The 23955-nt window shown below is 47.7% G+C and overlaps 1 protein-coding gene across 11 annotated transcripts in view, besides 1 other annotated feature; it reads left to right on the forward strand.

Moving 5' to 3' along the window:
- KAZN (kazrin, periplakin interacting protein) overlaps positions 1-23955 on the forward strand; it is a 1225220-nt gene that overhangs the window by 883734 nt on the left and 317531 nt on the right. The window lies entirely within an intron of this gene.
- Positions 2480-3010: an enhancer, noted in NCBI's record as "H3K27ac-H3K4me1 hESC enhancer chr1:15105533-15106063 (GRCh37/hg19 assembly coordinates)". NCBI's record gives its function as "activates a minimal SCP1, AML or CMV promoter by ChIP-STARR-seq in primed H9 embryonic stem cells {active_cell/tissue: H9 hESC(primed)}" and the evidence as "EXISTENCE:reporter gene assay evidence [ECO:0000049][PMID:30033119]".

A 23955-nucleotide genomic window follows, 5' to 3' on the forward strand; every position in this document is an offset into this window, starting at 1 on the left:
CGCAGCCATTTATTGTGTCTCTACCATGTGTCAGGCACTCTGCTAAGGACATCACGGATATCTCATTTAATCTACATGGTAACTTTTTGGGCCGGGCGCAGTGACACACCTGTAATCCCAGCACTTTGAGAGGCCTAGGTGGGAGAATTGCTTGAGCTCGGGAGTTGGAGACCAATTTGGGCAACACAGAAAGACCTTATCTCCACAATCTGCTTTGTTTTGTTTTTAATTAGCCAAGCATAGTGGCGCATACCTGCAGTCCTAGCTGCTTCAGTGGCTGAGGCAGGAGGATCATTTGAGTCCGGGACAATGAGGCTGCAGTGAGCTATGAGGGCCACTGCCCTCTAGCCTGAGCAACTGAGCAATACCCTGTCTCAAAAAAAAAAAAAAAAAAAAAAGAGACGTCTTTGAAGTCGGTATTTCTTCTTTGTTTTGTTTTGTTTTGTGTTTTGTTTTGTTTTGAGACGGAGTCTCGCTCTGTCACCCAGGCTGGAGTGCAGCAGCGCAATCTCGGCTCACTGCAAGTGCTGCCTCCCGGGTTCACGCCAGCTTCCTGAGTAGCTGGGACTACAGGCGCCCGCCACCACACCCAGCTAATTTTTTTTTTTTTTTGTATTTTTAGTAGAGACGGGGTTTCACCGTGTTAGCCAGGATGGTCTCGAGCTCCTGACCTCGTGATCTGCCTGCCTCAGCCTCCCAAAGTGCTGGGATTACAGGCATGAGCCACCACGCCCAGCCCTGAAGTAGGCATTTCTTTATTCCTTTAATCTGATGAAGAAATTGAAGCTCTGAGAGACGCCTCATGATACGTAGCTAATGAGAGTACTAATAAGAGGTCTAGCTGACCCCAGTGCCCTTGCGTATAAGCACCATGAAGTACAACTTCTCCCTCCGAGGGCCTCCTCATGCTGCCAGGATCAATGCCAATCCCAATTCTATGCCCCATGCGACCCCCACAGGGCCCGGCCCTCCTCACCTCTCCAACTTCACCCAGCATCTGCTTCCATCTCTCCTCCTTAGGACCTTCTTTCTGTCCCCTGAACTAGCCAAGCATGTTCAAGTACTTTGCAATTGCTCTTCCTTCTTGGAACTCTCTTCATCCAGACTTCCTCGTCACTCTGCCTCCTCATTGTCACTCGGGTCTGAATAAATGGCTTGAGCTGCTTGACCGAGGATACATATTGTTACTTTTTGATTATATGCTAAATAAGGGATAGATTACTTGTGAGTTTTCCAGGAATGGGGTGAGCAATTCTCAGAACTGAGGGTTCCTCCCCTTTTTAGACCATATAGGGTAACTTCCTGCATTGCCGTGGCATTTGTAAACTGTCACGGTGCTGGTGGGAGTGTCTTTTAGCATGCTAATTCATTATAATTAGCATATAATGAGCCATGAGGACGATCAAAGGTCACTCTCGCCACCATCTTGGTTTTGGTGGGTTTTGGCCAGCTTCTTTACTACAAACTGTTTTATCAGCAAGGTCTTTATGGCCTGTATCCTGTGCCAACCTCCTGTCTCATCCTGTGAAAAAGAGTGCCTTAACCTCCTGGGAATGCAGCCCAGTAGGTCTCAGCCTTATTTTACCCAATCTCTATTCAAGATGGAGTCTCTGAGTCTTAACATTTAAATGCATTAAAATTAGGCTGTCTCCATCAAAAGTGACACAGAGGACACAAAGGCATCCTGCCTGCAGCCTCCATAAACCAGCCAGAAACATTTATAGTTGGTGGTCTCTTACCAGGAAAGAATGCTGGCTGGTTGTTGTGTCAAAACCGCAAAAGGAAGGGGAGCCTGGCCACTCTTCCAAAAAGCCTGCTTTCTGTTTAACCCTTAAGAAAAAAAAAAAAAAAAAAAACCCACATCCAATGGCAGTTAGAGAGGAAGGGGACATCATGAGGCAATGCCTCCCGTCCCGTCAGGGCAGGGAACTCAGCTTGTTACATTTCTCTGGGTTCCCTTGGCCAAGTGGAGATCCGTTCAGTCCATTGGGAAGCTTAGGATTTTATTTTTATTTCTCAGTACTAATGCCACCTCCCCTTTTGCTCACAATTCCTCATCTCCACAAGATCCTCAGAAAAACCCAAGGTGCACACACATCACAGGTACTGGTTATCCAGTGTTTCAGTTCTCTTTTGCCACGTAACAACCCCCAGTATTTTTATACCACCCGTGGACTCTGCTTGGTAACAACCCCAAAATTTAGCAGCTTAAAAAAACAACCATTTTTATTTGCTCAGAATTCTGTAAGTCAAGAATTCTGGTAAAGCTGGGCTGGGTTTTTCTGCTCACATGCAGCCGGCAGGAACTTTCATGAGACTGCATTTGGACAGCAGCTGGGCTGAGATGTCCAAGGCAGCTTCACTTGTGGGTCTGGCACCTGGGTGGGAACACTGGGAGCCTGAGGCCTCTCTCTTTCTCTCTGCACCTGGCTCTGGTCATGTGACTAGCTTGGGCTCCTTTTTCGTGAATCTGAAGAGTGAGTGTTTCCATGACACAGGTGAAGCTGCAGACCTTTTAAGGCTCAGCCTCAAATTTACCCAGTGTCACTTTCTCTGTGTTCCGCGAGACAGGGCCCACCCAAATCCAAGGTCAGGAAATCCCTCCACCTCTCCATAGGCCACATGGCGAAAGACCATGTGCCATGGAGAATGGGAAACATCCTTGCAGTCATCTTTGGACAAACAACCCACCAGATCCAATTCCCAGATTAGTTTGGCAAACTAGAGACCACAGAATTTATGACTCCTACACATCCTGCCACTAGGAGGCAGTGTGGGCCCCCCGGCTTCCCTCTGGGGCTTTTCTGGAGCCTGCAGGCTCCCAGCTCTTGGCATTGGAGGGTACGGCCAGAAGCTTCCTGGGGCACTCTCATACCTTCCCCGGCCTTTGCACGTGCAGGCCTCTTGCATGACAAACAGCTTGCCCCTTGCTGCTCATGAATATATTTACTTCTGAATTTAAGAACCATGATGGATTGACATCGGCCCCTGACCTCGCAGAAATACTAAACAAATGAGATGTAGGTCTACAGGGCAATTGCTTTCTTCTTTATTTCCTGGGCTGGTTACTATTGATTATCTGCTGTGCACTTTGTTAATTTCCTGCTGACAGGCTCTCTTCTATGAACAGTTCCTGGGAAGGGTTTGGCTTTGTTATTTTTTTCCTGGGATTAAGGCTCAGTGTATTCTAAACAACCCCATTATTCAGTAGAGAATTTGTTCAACTTTCTTTTCTTGGCAGCTGATTTACCAGTGACCTCTCCCAAAGTGAAGTGACACGTAAACAAGACACAAAAAGTTGACTCCCGTTTAAGAAATATTTCAAGGCTAGTGATGGGTATACATTCTCTCGTGCATTGCTGATGCTAATTGCAGTGTACCTGGGGTTAATGATGATTTTGCAATAACAGGTAACATTTCACTGGTGTCAGGCTCACTGCTAAGTGCTTGACAAGCTTTGTCTCATTAATTCCTCCCAACAAACGCATGAGGTATGTCTTGATATGATCCCAGGTATTGTCTGAGTCCCAAGGGAGAGCTTTAGAATATGGAAAGCTTTTAGGGCATCAGAACCAATTTTGAGCTAAACGTGTTTCTTCTTTAGGGCTTTTGAGTTTGCTGTTGCCTCTGCCTCAAAGCCTTGGCCCGATCTTTGCTCTCTGTGCAGCCCCTCTGGCTTGTCCTTTGGGTCTTGGCTGAGATGTCACGTCTTCAGAGATGCCCTCCCTGTCTCTTCCCAGCCTCCCCTCTCTCTTGCTTTATCTCATTCCTAGCGCATCTCTCTAGCAGGCATTTGGAGGTTGAGTGTCTCCTCCACTCTGGAATGTGTGGAGGAGCTAGTTTGTGGGTTCATTTACTATTGCATTAGCCCAAAAACTATCTGTTGAGTGAATGGATGAGCCATGTCCTCCCACTCACTGCCTGGATGGCCTTGGCAAGTTGCATAACATGTGGGAGCCTCCGGTTTCTCTTCTGTCAAATGGAGATAGTAATTAGAATCTGCCCCATAGGGTTGGTGTGAAAATTAAGCAAGATGCTATAAATAAACCTCTTAGTTCTTTCATGGGGCCTAGGCATTTCACAATTAAGACAAAGTACTATTCTAGAGGCTACAGATGAAACAGAATGAAATAAAAAATACGAAGTGCTCAGCATGGCACCTGGAATACCATGGACACTAACAGGTGATGATCGTGTATGATTTTCCTTCTGATATTGTAGGGACAATGACTGATGATCACCAGTCTAGAGTGAATTGAGTCCTGAGCTCCGCTATTGACTGAGGTATAAACTGATAAAAGTTCAAAATATTTTTTATCTTGACTTAGAAATGGAGGAGAGAAGAAGCAGAGGATTCGGTGTTCGGAAACAGCAAAATCCCTTCTGCACTTGCAGCTGGAGTTACAGGAGCCCAGAGGGTGCCGAGTGGAGTGGGGGACACTGAAGGCACCGAGAGTAAATAACATTAAAAGGCAAGAAACTTGGCCGGGCGCGGAGGATCACACCTGTAATCCCAGCACTTTGGGAGGCCGAGGCAGGTGGATCACGAGGTCAGGAGATCGAGACCATCCTGGCTAACACGGTGAAACCCCGTCTCTACTAAAAATACAAAAAATTAGCCGGGCATGGTGGCAGGCACCTGTAGTCCCAGCTACTCGGGAGGCTGAGGCAGGAGAATGGCGTGAACCCAGGAGGCGGAGCTTGCAGTGAGCCGAGATCGCGCCACTGCGCTCCAACCTGGGCAACAGAGAAAGACTCTGTCTGAAGAAAAAAAACAAAAAACAAAAAAGGCATAAACCTCAGTTTCAAGTGCTAAGAAATCATATCCCCATTTAAAAATGTCCTTTCAGGTGCCAGATTTTAAAATGAATTACTGTGTTTTCTAAGCCCAGGGTCAGCTTCAGAAGGGGATATTTACAACTCTAAACATGCGTGCTCGAGCAGCCTTTACAAATGCAAACTGAACATCTGGAATTTGGCCTAATTTATAAGAGCAAATGAAGATGTTGAAAACTGAGGGGTCCAGATAGGAGGGGACCTTCTCAGTTCTCAAATTCAAGGTTGCAATGTTACTGACTTAGAGGCTAGTCAGCACCTCCTGTAGTAGTTTGTACCTTTAAAACCCATCAAGAGGCCGGGGGCAGTGGCTCACGCCTGTAATCCCAGCCCAGCACTTTGGGAGGCCTAGATGGGAGCCTAGGAGTTCAAGACCAGCCTGGGCATGAAAAACAGCACAATCTCTGGCACATAAGCATGCTCAATAAACGGAAGCTATTGTTATTTTTAAATTAATGTGAATTCAGCCCCCAATCATAAAAAATTGTCAATAATTGGTGGTTCATATACGGACTGAATTCCACGATCCATGTTCTGTTTATTTCAATTATGACTCCACCACTTTGAGTTCTGTGTCTTTGGACAAGTTCTATCACCTCCCTGAGCCTCAGTGTCCTCATCTGTAAAGTGGGCATAAGAATGGAACCTGTCTGTCAGATCTTTTGTAAAGGTTTACAATAGTGTCTGGCACATATAAAGAATGCCATATATGTGTTTGCTATTATTAGCATCAAAATTATGACTAGTAGGAACCAGCAGTTATTTCTAATGCCGAAGATGGGACTTCCACCCTCTTTAGGCAAATATATTGATCGATAAGTGAGCAGCTGCAAATGTATGATTCTTAGCTCCTCATTGAAATGCACCTCCCGGCTGGGTGCGGTGGTTCCCGCCTGTAATCCTAGCACTTTGAGAGGCCGAGGCGGGTGAAATCACCTGAGGTCAGGAGTTTGAGACTAGCCTGGCCAAGATGGTGAAACACCGTCTCTACTAAAAATACAAAAATTAGCCCGGCATGGTAGCACGCACCTGTAATCCCAGCTACTGGGAAGGCTGAGGCAGGAGAATCGCTTGAACCCAGGAGGCAGAGTTTGCAGTGAGCCAAGGCCGCGTCATTACACTCCAGTCTGGGCAACAGGGCAAGACTCCACCTCAAAGAGCAAAAAAAAAAAAAAAAAAAAAAAAGAAAAGAAAAAGAAATGCACCTCCTATGCAAACTTGGACCATGCTTAAAGTGTGTTCCTTCATTTTAGTAATTGAAGAGGCCTATAAAAGCAATAATAAATATACCTAAGTTTCTATGGAAACAATTATCTAATTAGGTTTTCCCTTTAATCAAAGGAGTCCCAATCTAGGAACTCTTAGTATGTTTCCTGATTAAGGCCATTTGTGGTTTTCCTGAGTCGCTGGAGGAATCCCAGGGTAGAGGCATCCCCCCAACCTCGCTGCAAATGTTTTCATTACAGATTATAGCAGCAGGCCTGGCGGCATCTGTAGAGGGCTAATTTTTCCTGACAGTCCTGCTGACCTTTGTTTGCTGATAACCCTCTTCTCTGTGGTAACCCCAGCAGATAGAGGCAATACCAAGGACGTAGGTCTCATTTCCCTGAAGAGTAGCTTCTCGAGAGACTCAGGAGAGATGCCCACTGGAGGAGCTAGCATGAAAAAAAGAGAAAATTGCTGCCTTTAGGGGGTGCTCAGCCCTGAAGTGCTCAGTGCAGCCTCAGCTTAGATTGGCTGTAACATGTCAGAATGTGATGAGGCTGATATTTGGAGTTTGCTACTCAACATGGTCCCTGCAAAATGCCATTTCCAGCACCTAATACCTGTCTGGGGAGAGATCAGAACATTTAGTTTTAATCTTAAAGGTCATGCAGGAATTCATCCTAATAATAGAGCCCAAAGCCAGGCAGGGAGGCCAGAAAATCTCACCAGCAGGGGCTCCTTTTGCAGACTGAGCCACTGCAAGAGGAAGAGCCCACATGCAGAGAACTGATAAAAACCAACTGTCCTTCACGGTGACCCCGAGAAGCCAAGTTCTGCTCCAGGACTTCTCTTCTGCAAAACCAGGACCCTAGGCATGGATGCTTGCATTCAGGCATTTATTGAACAAAAATTTATCTATGTGCCACGTCCTGGGCTAGACCCTAGAGATAAGAGGTGAAAAGATATGCTCTCTGTCCTCAGGTGAGAACAGCCAAGCCAAGAAAGTGCTAAGAAATGATCCCACTGCTGTCGATCTTAGCCATCTGGGTATGGAGGGAAGAGCACCGTGCCTGCCTGAAGAAGTCATGGAAGGCTTCACTCAGGCGGTGGCCTTGAGCGGGGTCCTGGCTGAGGAGTAGGTGTTTTCTGGTAGGCAGGCACGGCAGAGGGGCTCCTGGAAGACAGAAGGGCATGGGCGCACAAGAGACCTGGCCTGGCAGGGGTTGTGATGGAAGTAATGGGGGTGGAGGACTTGAGGCTGAGTCTGGAGCCAGAGAGACTGCGATGAATAGAGGTTATGAGGACCAAACTGGAGAGGCGAGGAGAGACTGTGCCAAAAGTTGGGGTCCTCATCTGTGGACAGCAGTGACCCCTAAGAAGGGTTGTACCAGTCAGAGTTCAACCAGAGAAGCAGACCCACTAGGAGATACATATTAAGAGATTTGTTGGAAGGCATTGGCTTAGGCGATGGTGGGGTTGGTGAGGCAGGTCTGGAACGCACAGGGCAGGCTGGAATTCTTGGTCAGGCAGGGGTGAAGCTGCTGCCTCGGGTGGAGTTTCTTCTTTATCAAGGAAGCCTCAGCTCTGCTCCCACATCCTTTCAACTGGTTGAACCAGACCCACCCTGATTATCTAGGACAGACTCCTTTTCCTGAAGCCAACCGATTATGGGTTTTAATCACATCTACAAAATACCTTCCTGGCAACGCCTAGATGAGTGCTTGGTTGAATAACTGGAGACTATAACCTAGCCAAGTTGACATTGAAAACTGACCATCAGAGAGGGAGTCTGGGGAGGTATGGGCTCTCTGCAGACCCTCCTCCTCTCTCCCTGCATTAAGGTGTGGCACCATAAGCAGCACCCAAAGTCACTCAAGGGCCGGGCATGGCAGCTCACACCTGTAATCCCAGCACTTTGGGAGGCTGAGGCGGGCAGATCACTTGAGGTGAGGAGTTTGAGACCAGCCTGGTCAACATGGTAAAACCCCGTCTCTACAAAAAATACAAAAATTAGCCAAGCGTGGTGGCACATGCCTCTAGTCTCTGGTACTTGGGAGGCTGAGGTGGGAGGATCACTTGAGCCCGGGAGGTCGAGGCTGCAATGAGCCAACACCATGCCACTGCACTCCGGCCTGGGCAACAGAGCAAGACTTTGTCTCAAAAAAAAGTCATTCAAGTGACTACTCCAGACCAGAGAAAGCTGCAAATTAACAAAGGGTGATTCTGGGACAGGCGGAAATACATGTGGGCACTGGGCTGGAGTGATATCACCATGTCTGAGAATAGCCTCTTCTCAGCAGCCCCGAATCGGAAATACATAGTTCCAGAAGTCAAATACATCTTGATTTTGATCTCGGCTAGACTGCTTACTTTTTTTTTTTTTTTTTTAAGCTGTAAAATGAGATAATGCCTCGGGGGTACTTTGAGAGATTAAGATGTAAGCACGGGGGTGCATAACGTCAAGCTTCTAGAAGGTGTTTAAGGAGTGGCGTGGACCCTAAGATTCATTTGGCTGCAAGTAACAGGGACCAATGTCAGCCAAGTTAAGTAGAAAAGGGGATTTATTGGAGGAATATAAGCGTGTCTCATGGATTCCAAAAAAAGTTGACAGCCAAGCCTTGGGAAAACTGGGAAGCAAGCAAGGCAGCCCTGTGGACCCCCATGGAAGAACTTTCCCAACCTTCCCTTGGGAACTTTGTCATTGACTGGCTCAGTGTCTCTCAGTTCAGGCTTTTGAGAGAAATAATCTTATTGGATGGTTTGGGTCAGATGTTCTCTTGGGGTCCAATCAGCTATGGCCTAAGAGTGGTGTCATGGAGAACAAATATGGCGCCAAATCTTACCCTGTGGACAGAATGGATACCTCAGGGGAGGCCCGTTCCTCTGGCGCTGTAGAAAATTGCTACACCTCCTCCGCGGGAGCTTCATGTTACTCCCTCTCCCCAGTGACCTTCCTGCTCCGACCCTCACCAACACCTTCTCATCTTTTCCCCACCTGCCCTTTGCAGACTTTACAGTTACCTCTCTATCATTATGGCCCAGGACAAGTTATTTACCCCGTCTAAGCCTCAGTCTCCTCATCTCTAAGATGGAGATGAGAATAATATCTTTCTTAGAGAATTGTTGTGAAGATTAAATAATATACTTCCACCTCTTTGCCCTGATCATTGTTGTTATTTCCTTGTTACTCAAGAAGTAGAGGCAATGTTTCTCACTGCAGAGCTGTGCTTCCTCCTGAAAAATATTAATAACAGCACATGGCACGTGAGGAGGTGGAAGGCATACGCTTCCAAACCAACTGTCTCTGGGTTGAAACCTCAGCCCTGCCACTTAGTGTCTGTGAGACAAGTTAATCAACATCTCTGAACTTGTTTCCTCCCTTGTAAAATGGGAATGTTAATAATGATCTTGCAGAATCGTTGTTAGAATCCAGTGACCTCCTTATGGGTGTGTGCTTAGCAAAATGCCTGGCGTCTACAGTAGGTGCTCAGTAAAAGGGAATTCTTATCATTGTAATTATATTTCATCTTATTAAAGCACTTATTTAGTCAGATAAACTCTTACATAGCATGACTCTCCAACTCCATCTAAAAACAGTCTAAATCTGATGTTACTTTCTTGTCATTTGTATCTTGGGCACTGCAGTACTGGCTACTAATTAACAATTATAGCTCAGGCGCCTGCTCTCCCTGGTAACTCTCTAGTTAATATTTTAAGCCAGGCAATGCTGTCATTGGCTTCAAGGTCAACTGCAGTTTGGGGAGCAGCAGCATGATTTTTGCATATGGCATTGGAGCCATCCGCTCTTCCCCGAGAGTGGAGGTAATTTGGAACCCACACTTCCTCAATCGTACGTCCTTTGTGAGCACATAGAGCTGAAACCTCACACTGGGCCTAACCGGGCATGGTGATTTGGCACCTTGAATGGATTGCAAGAAAATCAAGCTCAAATAAGGAGCCACTATAAGCGCATTTCATTTTCATCTGCCATTTACCTAGAAAGGCCACGGCTCTGCATCTGAATAACCTGATGCCTATCTTTAAAATGCACTCACTTGCTCTCTTTCCCGACTCACTGAATCAGGATAAAGAAAAAAAATACCTTTGTATACAGCAATGCCTGAACAATTTGCACACCCTGTAATTCTCAGATAACCCTAGCACTCTCCCCTCAGCTCCTGCAAGACATTTAATAGAAGGATGTGGTGCTGACATCTCATATTGTAACAATATTGTTACTATGTGGAAATATGCCAGGGTGAATCTTCTAGTAAACAGTGAAGGGCCATTAGAAGAAATGTGGTGAAATGACCCATTTCTGAGCCAACGAACAGCATACATTTAGGGATAAGAGTCAACATTTTGAATCATGTTTTCTGCTTATTAGTTTCCAACTCTTGACACCAAACATCTTTAGACTTAGACTGAATTAGGCACACTTTGCTGATGCCTTTCAACTTGGGATTTCTTGGTTTTCTTCCTGGAGGACAGAATGGGCCAGTGGTTAACTTGGAGCTTTGATTCTGAGTTCAAGTCTGATTTTGGTCATTTACTACCTATGTGACCTTGGATGTATTAATTATGGCCAATACATGCGTTCACGTATGCATTGCATTTCACATGTGCTGAAGAGTGGAAGTAATTTACCTGTATTAGCTCTTTTAATCCTGAGAGGTACGACACTAAGAAGTAGGCGTTTTTCTCGTTACTCCCATGTTACAGTAGAAAACCAAGGCATAGTGAGGTTGGATAACTGGCTCAAAGTCAAGATCTGATCAGTGACCAAGCTAGCATTTGAACCAGGGGTCTTGACTCTGGAATCCCTGCTCTCAGCTAGTGTACTTGGGTTGATCTCTTTAAGCATCATCTTTTCTGTCCATAAAATGACCATGGTACTACTACCTGCTTCTGGGATTCTGGTAAGGATTAAATGTTTGAACAAATGCATGTCAAGTGCATAGTGAATTACCTGGAATATTGGTATGAGCTCAATTAATGTTGGCCATTACAATTAATGTTGGCAGCTACTTTGTCGAGCCTCTGCCTTGTACGACTCCAGGGGCATCACTCACAGAGAGTACAATGTGTCTGGTGCTCCAGGGGGCCTTTCACTGTGAGTTCTGGATGACTGGCGCCCCCTGCAGTTGTGCACAACAGCCCTGTGGACCTGCATCGCTCTGGAAGGAGGGACAGCTGTCTAGGAATCCGCAATAGCCCAGGGAGGTGATGGTGAGGCCTGAACGGGGGTGGAGGCCGTGGGGAGAAAACCTGGGGAACCAGTTCAGTAACAACTTTGTTATCAATGATTCACCATTTTCGAAAGATCAGTCAGACTTAGGACCATGTCAGTGGCCCCAGAAGAAAACCAAGCCAATCAGCGGTGAGAGCCGCTGCACAGGAATGGCTCTGTACAGGAATGGCTGCATAGTTGTGGGGACCCAGCACAAAAGGAAAACATGGGACCCCTTGTTCAAAAATTATGAATTTCAAGACAGCAACAGCAGAGCATTAAAGCACACACAGGGCACTTCTAAGCATGGGGCTCTGTGCACCTGCCTGGGTTGCATGCCAGAAGCCAGCCCTGTCTCAGTGCTACCATCCTACCCCCAGCCCCAAACGCATCAGCCAGGGATAGGCGAGTACTGGCTCTCGGGCCTCCAGCCTGCAAGCTCATTCGCTCATCAAATTTCTCCCTCCAGGAGCACGGCCAAAAGACAAATCTGTGGCAGATGGAAAAAGATGGTTGGGACTCCAATAGGAGTAAGGCAGGGAAGATAAATCTTTAGCTCAAATGAATTGTGATTAACCACAAATACTAAGAGGTGCTTCGGGGAAGCCGGGGTGGGTAAATTGAATTCATGGGGAGGCAGCCTTCAAGAATAGTCTCTGTCCAAGAAGATCGATGCAGCACAAAGGCTTATAAGGTTTTCTTTCTCCTACCTCAGGCTTTTAGAGTGATGAGCCATGAGCTACAGGCACCTGTCTGCATGAATAAAAGATGCATTGAGACCCAGTAGACCCTAAAGCACCAGGCACCAAAGGGCCTCCGTCAAAGCTTACGACCCAGAGGCCTGACCGTGGTGACTCTGCTGCTACCGACACTCATCTTCCAAGCTGGAGATGGCTTTTCTTCTGCAGTTTCATCACCTTTAAGATACTTGTACATGTGGGAGGTCACCACTTGTACACGTGGGAGGTCACTTGTACACGTAGGAGGTCACCTAAGAAGGGAAGTGGTGTGATCTGAGGCATGTGGACAGCCACCTCTGATGTCTGGGACACCCTGAGACACCACCATCAGAATCCCATGGGTTAAGATCTCCTCCAGATCATCAATTTACAAACGCAGTTACCTTTACCTGGGAAGGTTACCTTTAACTTCCCATAATGCCTTCATGAGAACAAGTGAGTAGATAATCTGGCTCTTTTCTAGCAGAGTCCTGAAGGGATGGGACACTGGACGGGTTAGTTTTGATATGCGGATGAGGGTCTTACATGTCGGGAGCATTCGTTCATTCCCTCATTTGATATTCACTGAGCATCTCCCAGGAGGGGGCCTACTCAGGCTGAGGGCTTTGGGGACAGGAGGACGCCAGGAATCTGGTAGACGGGATTGTAGGGAGGGCTTCCCAAGGCAAACCTTGTCTGCCTTACTGCTTAAAACTAGAGCCATCCCAGAGTCAGGGAAGAACACATGTGATTAAGTCACTGTCCAATAAAGTCTGTTTCCACAGACCAAATCCATCCATTCCGGTCAGCTGATGTGCAAGACCCTCCTCACTTTTCCAGACCTGCTTCCCTCTGCTTCCCCACATGCCCCACTGTCCAGGCAAATGGAAACACCTGTGTATGTTCCAGTGGCTGAACCTTTGCTCCTCTGGTGCCTCTCACCTGAACCAGCCTTGGGAAGCATTTCCATCTATCGGGACACCCACCAGTCGGGACCCTTCCAGGTTCATCTCTGATTCTACATTCTCCATGTCTCCTTTCCTGTTTCCTGTGATCAGATGGGACCTGGTCCCCCTTTGGGCCTCCTTAAAACAAAACTTTAGCACCTCCCTCCTGCCTATGGTGTGTTCTGTCCTGTCCTCAAGTCATCTGTCCTCTTATCTGAGTCCCCATTCTTACTCTGAAGGCAAGGACTCTAAGCTCCTCATTACCAAAAAAAAAAAAAAAAAAAAAAAAAAAAAAAAAAAAATCCCTAGAGCCTAGACAGTATCTGGCACACAGTTAATATGTTTGCTGAATTAAAGCTTATGCTCTGGCTACAAATTGCTCCAGGCACGGAGTAGATGACATCTCCTAACCACCATTTGTCAAAGGATTCTTTTCTTTCTTTGTGGAATATGGTCTCCTATAACTGAGTCACCATATCTTGGCATTCCTTGAATTTCTTTTTTTTTCTTTTTTCTTTTTTTTTGAGACAGAGTTTCACTCTTGTTGCCCAGGCTGGAGTGCAATGGCGCAATCTTGACTCACCGCAACCTCCGCCTCCCAGGTTCAAGCAATTCTCCTGCCTCAGCCTCCCAAGTAGCTGGGATTACAAACATGTGCCACATGTCCAGCTAATTTTGTTTTTTTCTTTTTTTTTTAGTAAAGACGGGGTTTCTCCATGTCGGTCAGGCTAGTCTTGAACTCCCGACCTTAAGTGATGCGCTCACCTCGGCCTCCCAAAGTGCTGGGATTGCAGGCGTGAGCCACCATGCCTGGCAGCATTCCTGAATTTCTTGACCCAGGATGGGATATACATGGAATAAAGGGGCTTTTTCCACTTTTCTTATTTTGCAATATAATAATTCATTTACTGGAAAATGTAATAATTCACATACCATAAGATATAATAATCCACATACCATAAAATTCACCATTTTAAGTGTACAATTCAGCGATTTTTAGTATATTAACAGAGTTGTGCCACCATCACCACTATCTAATTACAGAATGTTTACAGCACCCTAAAAAGCAAAGGGGCTTTTTGTTAGCTTTAAGTATGTGGCAGTTCTTTTGTTGGGAAGTCATTCAAGCAATTTTCACAAAGTTGTCCAATCCAAGTCCCGCCAGCCAGGGATTTGGCCTTTCCCACCAGGTCTCCTAGAATTGGAGGAATCCGGTGACTTCTTTTTTTGTTCTGTTGCTGAGGCAGAGTGCAGTGGTGCAATCTTGGCTCACTGCAAATTCTTCCTCCCAGGCTCAAGCGATTCTCTCACCTCAGCCTCCCGAGTAGCTGGAATGATATGCGTGCACCACTATGCCAACTAACTTTTGTATTTTTAATAGAGATGGGGTTTCACCATGCTGCCCAGGCTGATCTCGAACTCCTGAGCTCAAGCGATCCTCCAGCCTTGGCCTCTGAAAGTGCTGGGATTATAGGTGTGAGCCACCGCACCGGCCCCCGCTGGCTTCCAAGGGAGGGCAGGCTGGATTCCATTTGCTGCCATCTCTCTGCCTCCAAGTCTCATCCCACCCTACCTCCACTTCCTTGCTTGCTTACATTGTGCTTAACAGACAACCCTGCCCTCGAAACAGCCTTGAGATGCCTCTAAATCATCAACTCCTGTTCCTCTTTGAACTCTGTCCCTTCACCCTTAATCTGCTGGGACAGCCTTTTTCCTGATGCATTTTATTAAGATTTCATCACCCGGGAGGCAGAGTTTGCAGCCAGGGCATCTTCCCGCCAGCTTGGGGGCCCAGATAAGTGGCTTTGGAGGAGGGCTGAGTCGCCAACACCTGCACACGAGAAACCTCTCCACTTGCCCCTTCTTCTGTCCTGAAATGTCACTGGAGCCTCATCCTGACACAACTCTTTCCAAACTCGCCCACTGGCTTGCTTGTGCCATCATTCCAAACACCTGCTCAGCTCTGCTGGGCCAAGGAAGCAACACGCTGCGCTTGTTAGATTCTGCGTGACTTGCAAGCCCCCAGTCTCTGGTCCTGGTGGAGGAATGTGCCTCTGGTCCCTGGACATGCCTCTGGCCTCCCTGTCACCTCCCTCCACTTGCCCACAAAGTACCCAATGACACTGCAGAGAAGATGCCCAAGAGTCCACTGAGGACGGCGAGAGTGAGCTTAGTCCCCAGGGGAATGCAGAAACTGGAGATGATGATGGAGCTGGGCGAGCTTCCGGAACATCCTGTTGCAGAGAGCAGCTCCCGGCCTCCCTGGCACGCTTGCCTGAGGTGCTAGGGCAGCAGGCACGAGCCACCAGCCTTTGATCCCTGCGCACACACAGCTTTGCTTTCAGCAGCGCGTTTGATCCCATGGCAGCGGCTGCGGGATGACTGTTGTTTCTGTGTGATCTGCCAGCAGTGGGGATGGGACTTGGCTTTCTGGAGGAGCAGCCACATTAGCCGGGGTGACCTCGGTCAATGCTGCGGGGACTTCAGTTGGCACCACTGTGACTGTGCTTTCCAAATGCTTTTCATGTTCCCCCTGCTTCTCATCTATACCCTTCCTTACCCCACCCACCCCAAGCACAGGGCTGCCTGCTGATGTCAGATGGAAGACTTGAATCAGAATTGCCACCTGGTAGAAAAGTAGACCATCCGAAAGGTGGCCATTTATTCATTCATTCAGTTGGTGGTTATTTACTGAGCATCTACTGTTTGCCAGATGCTGTGCTGGGTGTTAAGGAGACAAAATGTACAAGCTAGCATCCCTGCCCCCAGTCACCTGTGTGCAGGGAGGCAGATAAGAATATCAGCTTGAGAGCTGGAAGGTGCAAAAAACCCAAATGTCCAACAACAGATGTATGGCTAAACAAGGTGTGGTCAATCCATGCAGTGGATTATTTTTCAGCCATACAAGAATGAAGTACTTACCAAACGTGGTGGCTTATGCTTGTAATCCCAGTGGCAGTACAAGGTTGGAAGAAGTCTACAGCCATCTCCCAGGTACATTAGAAGCCCAGAGGGTCCCTTACCTCAACCTGGAGGTTTAGTGGCTTCCAAAAGGAGAGGAATCTTGACTAGCATCATGAGGAAACAATCGGTGCAGGAAATGGGAGAGGGTGTGCCAAGCAGAGGGAACAGCACAAGGCACAGAGACAAACGCAAAGGCACAGAGGAGGAAAGCAGCGTGCATTTAAGGTCCAGGACATGGCTGGGCGCAATGGCTCATGCCTGTAATCCCAGCACTTTGGGAGGCCGAGGTAGGCAGATCACGAGGTCAGGAGATCGAGACTATCCTGGCCGACATGGTGAAACCCTGTCTCTACTAAAAATGCAAAAATTAGCTGGGCGTGGTGGCATGTGCCTATAGTCCCAGCTACTTGGGAGGCCGAGGCAGGAGAATAGCTTGAACCCAGGAGGTGGAGGTTGCGGTGAGCCAAGATCGTGCCATTGCACTCCAGCCTGGCAACAGAGTGAGACTCTGTCTCAAAAAAAAAAAAAAAAACATTCAGGACACAGTTGGCGGGACTGCATTTGGGAAAGCAGCCGGAGGAGATGAGGGTCAGCCCAGGCAGGTGTGTGTGTGGCATGTTAAGGCGGTGGAGGCCACTGATGGCTTTCAGCAGGATAGGAATGGACCCCCGACTTCGGTGGCATGGAGGAGGCAAGGATGGAGGCAGAGACCAGTTAGGAGGCAACTGCAGTGGCCTGGGCAGGAAATGATGGCAGAGCAAATCAGCACCAGGCGATGGCATCTCCGGGGGTAGCCTGGCTTTGCTAGACCAAGGAAAGAGAGGATTGAGAGAGGAGCCCCAAGGACCCACTGCATTTTCCCAGGCTCCTTTAAGATGTTTTTCCACATGCACGGCACGTCCTTGTGCTTCGTGGCTGACTTCTGCAGCGCCTACTCCATGCAGCTTAGAAGTTAGGGGCTGAGAATCTGGAGGCAGACCAGCTGGGTTCAAACCCCAACTCTACTAGCTATTAGCTATATGGCCCCAAACCAATTCATTCACCTCTCTCCCTGTATCTGTTTACCTAGCTATAAAATGGGAATGGGCATAACAAGAGTACCTGGTTATAGGGTTATTGTGAGGATTAAGTGAGTGTGTCTGTGCCTAGAATGGTGGGTGGCACACAGTATGTGCTCCATAAATGTTTGCTTTCATTCTTCCTGCTCAGAGCTTTCCTTACGCTCTGTGACTTGAGACAGATCAGAACAGGGCCTAGTTTGTATTTGGAAGCCAGTCTTTCATTCTTCCTGCTCAGAGCTTTCCTTACGCTCTGTGACTTGAGACAGATCAGAACAGGGCCTAGTTTGTATTTGGAAGCCAGTGAGACCTGAGATATAAATCACACTTGTGTGCCTTCCGGGTGGCTCCTCCTCTGGCAAACAAGACCACCCTCCCCAGGCCGTGCCCTCGCCTGTTAGGGGCCCCATGAAACCACACAGCCCGCAGCCTCCACCTGAGGAAATTAAAAACCAGATTGGTTATTTCAGGGTAATCAAAAGTAACACCACAGGTCCTGACCTTTTGTTCACGAGCAGTTACATAAGCAGCGTTTGCTAAAATCTCACCTTGAGCCTCAGCTCTCCTCTCCTGTGCTCCTCAGGATGCAACCTGGTTTGGAGGTGGCATCCTGGGCCCACTCTCCACCGGTTCTTCTAGGGTGCCCTCTTGTAAGTGTAGCTGTAAAGGGTCAGCAAGAGGGCACTCATTTCATGGAAAGCGCAGTGGGGATTGCTGACTCTCATCTAAACCCGACAGAGTTAGGACGCAAAAGAGATGTGGAAATCCCTAAAAATTCCTGTGGCATCCAGAATGAAACCTCAGCAACCATCCCTGGTAGAGTGTCTACTACCAGAACCATTGGCCATCATCCACAAACTGTCAACAGGCAACAGATCTCTGGATTTGGAGCACTGCCATTCCAAGGCTGTGGGCCTTTATCTTCCTGAACCTCAGTTGCCTCCCCTACTAAATGGGTGTAGCCAGTGGTGTGCTGGTAAGTGTTGAACAACCAGTTCTCACTGCGGGGCCAGGGTAGGAGGCAGCGGGGAGGCTGGTGTGTGGTGTTTGCCAATTTCCTTGATGTAAATACTTAAGCTACTTACTTGATGTCCCTGATGGCAGAGTCATGGGAGTCGGCTCTCAGGAGCCAGTGAAGTCAGCTCATGCACACCACTGGGTATCAGTAAGTACTTCACAGGCTGTATGGGTGTAATGGTTAATACTGAGTGTCAACTTGATTTGATTGAAGGATGCAAAGTATTGTTTCTGGGTGTGTCTGTGAGGCTGTTGCCAAAGGAGATTAACATTTGAGTCAGTGGACTGGGCAAGGCAGACCCACCCTCAATCTGTGTGGGCACCATCTAATCAGCTGCCAGCACGGCTAGGATAAAAGCAGGCAGAGGAACATGGAAGGACTAGACTGGCTGAGTCTTCCAGCCTCCATCTTTCTCCCGTGCTGGATGCTTCCTGTCCTCAAACATCAGACTCCAAGTTCTTCAGCTTTTGGACTCTTGAACTTACACTAGTGGTTTGCCAGAGGCTCTCGGGCCTTTGGCTGGAGACTGAAGGCTGCACTGTCAGCCTCCTCCTTTTGAGGTTTTGGGACTTGGACTGGCTTTCTTGCTCCTCCCTCTTCAGCTTGCTGATGGCCTTTTGTGGGGACTTTGTCTTGTGATCACGTAAGTCCGTTCTCCTAATAAGTTCCCCTTCATGTATTCATCTATCCTATTACTTCTGTCCCTTTAGGACCCTGACTAATACAATGGGTGAAATGAGAAGCAGTCCGTGAAAGCTTGTGTTAACCCTGTAAGGGGTGTGCAGATGGACTCCACAGAGAGCACAACACGGGGTCTTAGGGAGGTCTGGAAATGAGCATACGCCTAGATGTAATCTCTTCTGTGTCAGGCACATAGTAGGTACTTGTCGATATGGATGGTAGCATGGTACTTGTAGGTAGGTACTATGTACTGTGGAGATGGATTTAAGAGGCTTTTTATCTTTGATGGATTCACAGATTTGCTCCCCTCCTTGCAGTCGTTTATTTTCAAATTCAGGCTTCATGGCGTCCTCCAAATGCATGCTCTTTCCCATCCATCAGAACCTGCAAAAGTAACCTAAATCTGCCCAACCTCGCTCCCACCTACTGCCCTGTGGGATCTGGCTCTCACCTCCTCTCCATTCTCATCTGTCCCTGCATGAGCTGGTGCTCATTCCACACCAGCCCCTCTGGCCTCATTCCACACCAGCCCCTCTGACCTCCTTGCTTTTCTTGTGGCATGACACACATTGCCTCCCTCAGGGCCTTTGCACATGCTGTTGCCTTGGCTGGGATGCTGTTTCCCTCATTTCCCCATCACTCAGGACTCTGCACAAAGGTCACCTTTCAGAAAGCCTTGTCTAACACAGGAAACCCTCACCGGCACCCATTCTTCCTCCCCGGGGCCTGCTGTGTGTTTCTTTCTGCCTTCTATACTGTACATTTGCTGTGTGTTTCTTTATGGCCTATCCTCCCCACCGCCTCCACTAGTGGTGAACTCCTCATGGGAGGAATCTATCCTCTGCCTGAGGTAGGCCCCACTTCGCCTCTCTTCCTTCTTGGACTTGGCCCCTCCAGTCGGACATGCTAGGTAAGCCACTTTCTGGCCTCCGTTCTGGTCCTGGTTCTTCTCTCCCTCAGAGATGTGTAATCCCACAGATAAGCCTGGGTCTCACTCCTGCAAATAAGCAGCACATGCCTCAATCCAGGGCTGGGCATGGTCCTCTCAGGCACCCTCTCCCCACCCACACCCGGGCTTTCCCAGCCAAAGCTCAGGCCACCTCCGTTCTCCAAACTCAAGGCCCATGTCTTAGTGAAGCCACGTGTCATGTCCCCATCCTGCATTCAGACCAGCCTGTGACAACCACATCTCCACCACCCCGCCTTCACATGAGCTCCATGGCTCCACAGACCTTGTCCTGCCCAGCTCTGATTCCCAGTCTCTAGAACAAAGCCTGGCACATGGTAGGTGTGCGCTACAGACTAGGGAAACTGACAATTCTTCAGACAGTCTGGAATCGCTGGAGAGCTCCAGGATGCGTTTCTGTTACAAAAAGGGTATAGACGTGCATGGTTCGGCTCAGCTCTATGTATCGCCGTATTTTGGAAGATCACTGTCTCTTCATTTGTAAGCATGGCACCAGGGAAGACTCTCCATTGGGTGTTTCCTCAAAGTACTGCCTTTGGCATAACACGAGAGTCCTCGCCCCCATCACCTGAAGGAGTGGGAAAGGAAGGGGTGAGTTTAAGAAAGACACAAACTTGACTGAAAGGAGAAAGAGTCTCGAACAGATGGCACAACCTGCCCGTTTCTCCACAGCATGACTGTGACAAAGAGAAGGAAGACCTGAGTCCACTCAGTGGTGAGGGCAGCTCCCAGGTACCCCATGTAAGGAAAATGGTGAAGACGGCCTGATGGACTTGGAAGCAGTGGGTTAAGCTATGTTGATGTATCATTTGGTGGCCACTTAGGTAACACACATGGAGGTAGAAAGGGCAGAAAGGTGGTGCTGGGTTTTTTTGTTTTTTGGTTTTTGTTTTTCAGATGGAGTTTTGCTCTCGTTGCCCAGGTTGGAGTGCAGTGGCATGATCTCGGCTCACTGCAGCCTCCGCCTCCTGGGTTCAAGTGATTCTCCTGCCTCAGCCTCCCAAGTAGCTGGGCTTACAGGCGTGCACCACCACCCCTGGCTAATTTTTGTATTTTTAGTAGAGACGGGGTTTCACCATGTTGGCCAGGCTGGTCTTGAACTCCTGACCTCAGGTGATCCGCCTGCCTCTGCCTCCCAAAGTGCTGGGATTACAGGCATGAGCCACCATCCCTGGCCTATGGTGCTGTTTTTAATTTAACTATGTTTTGTCCAAGAAGCGCTAACTGGAGACTCTAGCAGTGGGAACCTGGAAGCCGTTCCAGGAGATGAGAGTCTATGAAGAGGGATCGATGTGAGGGGATTAGAAAGTGTGTTGGAACCAAGAATGTTAAAAGGCCAAGTGAAGAGTTAAAGAGTTAAAAGGCGGAATGCAGAGTTAACAATACATCGAATCAAGAAAAATGAGGGCAATCTCATTCATTTTTATCACTGATCTCACTAAGCTTTTTTATTCTATTCTGCAAATAGAGGTTCTATAGCTTCAAGACAGAGTGTCGGCCCTGGAGTCAGGAAGATCCAGGTTCAAATTTTAGCTCCACCTTGGACTAGTTACGGGGCCCCAGGCAAATTACCTCTCCAAGCCTCAGTTTCCTCATCTGCAAAATGGTCATCACAGCATGTCTCTTTCATTGAGTAGCCGTGAGGATTCAATGAAATAGTCCTTGTGGAGTGCTTAGTGCAACTCCTAACTCAACACTTAAAAGATGCCAGCTCTCATTTATTCATCAAAAACACGATGCCCACGATGTGCCAAGGAACCCTTCTTGGTGCTTGACAGGCACTGATTCAGTTGCTCTTTGTACACTGGGAAGAAGGGACTCCTATCTCCCCCACTTTACAGATGAGGAAACTGAGGCACAGAGAGGTTAAGAAAACTGTCTGAGTCATGCAGCTTGTGAGTGCCAGAGGCAAGTTTCAAACTCACGCATGACACCTCTGGGCTCCCTGTTGCTGCCGCTTACACAGTTTTGGGTCACCTGCTCCATGCTGAGCCTGGCACTGGAGCATCAATGCAAACGGGAAAGGAGTAAAACCACGGTGCTATCTTTACGTTGCTTGCCCTCTTAGTGGAGGGCTCACTCTCTCCTGGAGCCCACACTTACAAAGTAGAACATAATTAAGTAGGGCAGCATCCAAGCAACTTGAAAATGTCAGTCAGTAAACATCTCTTCTCCACAAAGAAATCAATAGCCCTCGGAGGTGATCTTTGCTTTCTTTTTTCTGTTTCTTTCCTTTTTTTTTTTTTTTTTTTTTTTTTTTTTGAGACAGAGTCTTGCTCTGTCACCCAGTCTAGAGTGCAGTGGCCCTATCTCGGCTCACTGCAAGCTCCACTTTCCACTTCCCAGGTTCACGCCATTCTCCTGCCTCAGCCTCCAGATTAGCTGGGACTACAGGCGCCCGCCACCACACCCGGCTAATTTTTTGTATTTTTAATAGAGATGGGGTTTCACCATGTTAGCCAAAATGGTCTCGATCTCCCGACCTCATGATCCTCCCGCCTCAGCCTCCCAGAGTGCTGGGATTACAGGCGTGAGCCACCACGCCCGGCCCACTTTCTTTTTTCTTTTCTTTTCTTTTTCTTTTTTATTTTATTTGAGACAGGGTCTGGCTCTGTCACCCAGGCTGGAGTGCAGAGGCATGATCTCGGCTCACTGCAGCCTCTGCCTCCCGGGCTCAAGCCATCCTCCCACCTCAGCCTCCCAAGTAGCTGGGACTACAGGCAAGTGCCACCACGCCCAGCCAATTATTTGTTTGTTTGTTTGTTTGTTTTTTCATAGAAATGGGGTTTTGCCAGGTTGCCCAGGCTGGTCTCAAACTCCTGAGCTCAAGTGATCTGCCTGCCTCAGCCTCCCAAAGTGCTGGGATTACAGGCATGATGAGCCACTGTGCCTGGACTACTTTCTCTCTGAGGGTGAGATGAACAGAGACCCAGTAAGACATGTGTTCGTTATTTTAAACTGCTGACATTTGTGGCATTGTTTGTTACTGCGGTATAACCTATCCTACCCTGTTTAAGGCCCCCTCTTAATACTACTTTACATCTCATTTGTACAGGATGTGTTCAGAATGGATGCGCAATGAATCCTTCTTAAGTTGAGGTAAACTCCATCAACTGAATTGCTTCAGGGCTGCAGAAGCTGAAATGGGTATTTTCATCTCTTCATCCAGAAAGGCTTCATTTGGGACACCTGTGGGAATGCCTGTTCCGCTTTCACGTTAGCCAATCTTTAAAGCTTTCATTAGCTATGATAAATTATTCAAAAAGGAGGAACACTTGAAACCTCTTTAGAATATTGACGTGGACCGACAGTAAATGAATGGAAAAGTACCTCCAGGTTCGAGGCTAACTTTCATTTAATTTTTTAGAGGAACCAGTCGAGTTGTTAAAATGATCAGAAACGGGCCTGGCCAGAGCCAGCTCTTCAAAGAGGGGATGTTATTACCTCCTTGACCATTCACTTAATCAGATCTGGTCGATGTCAAGAAAACAAAATTCCTCGTGCGATGGTGGGCTCAGGATATAATTAACAAGCGGATTTTACTTTTACCCAGAAACCCCTTAAGAACTTTTTTTTTGGAAAAGTAGGCTTCAACGAAATAAAAAAATTTAATGTACAATTTAGTTTCATTTCTGAAATCTTACACGATATTTTATAGGAAGCCTTGGAGACCCCCATCAGAATTCCTCTCCTTGAGTTCATTTTTATATCTTCATGTTTTTCTAATGAAACGGTATTAGATAATAGATGTCCCCGAAGGCCATATCAAAGTTATAAGTATCTGACATGTTTCTTCTCCTGAATTTTGGAGATGTTGTCAGACTATCTGCATATCTAGGGAAGTATGAGTGTCGTGGGGACTCAAGGCTTGGATGTATTGGGAATGGGATGGCAGGTCCATGATGAGCCAGATGAGGAGACAGCAGAGATTTACGGGAGGCAGAATCCTAACCCAAAAGTACCCCAAGGCTGACCCAGCATGGCAGATCTCCAGGTTTTTGTGATCCCAAAACCAAGAACCACATATGACTCAGCAACTCCATTCCTAGGTATACATCCACGAGAACTGAAAACGTGTGTCCACACAAACACTCCTATGAGCGTTCACAGCAGCATTATTCATGAGAGCTGAAAGGTGCAAATAACCCAAATGTCCAACAAAAGGTGAATGAATAAACAAGATGTGGTCAATCCATGCAATCAAATATTTTTAAGCCATAAGAGAATGAAGTAATTGCCAGACACGGTGGCTCGTGCCTGTAATCCCAGCACTTTGGGAGGCCGAGGCAAAAGGATCACTTGAGCCTAGGAGTTCAAGACTAGCCTAGG

The sequence above is a fragment of the Homo sapiens genome, chromosome 1 (assembly GCF_000001405.40).
Source record: "Homo sapiens chromosome 1, GRCh38.p14 Primary Assembly".
NCBI lineage: Eukaryota > Metazoa > Chordata > Mammalia > Primates > Hominidae > Homo > Homo sapiens.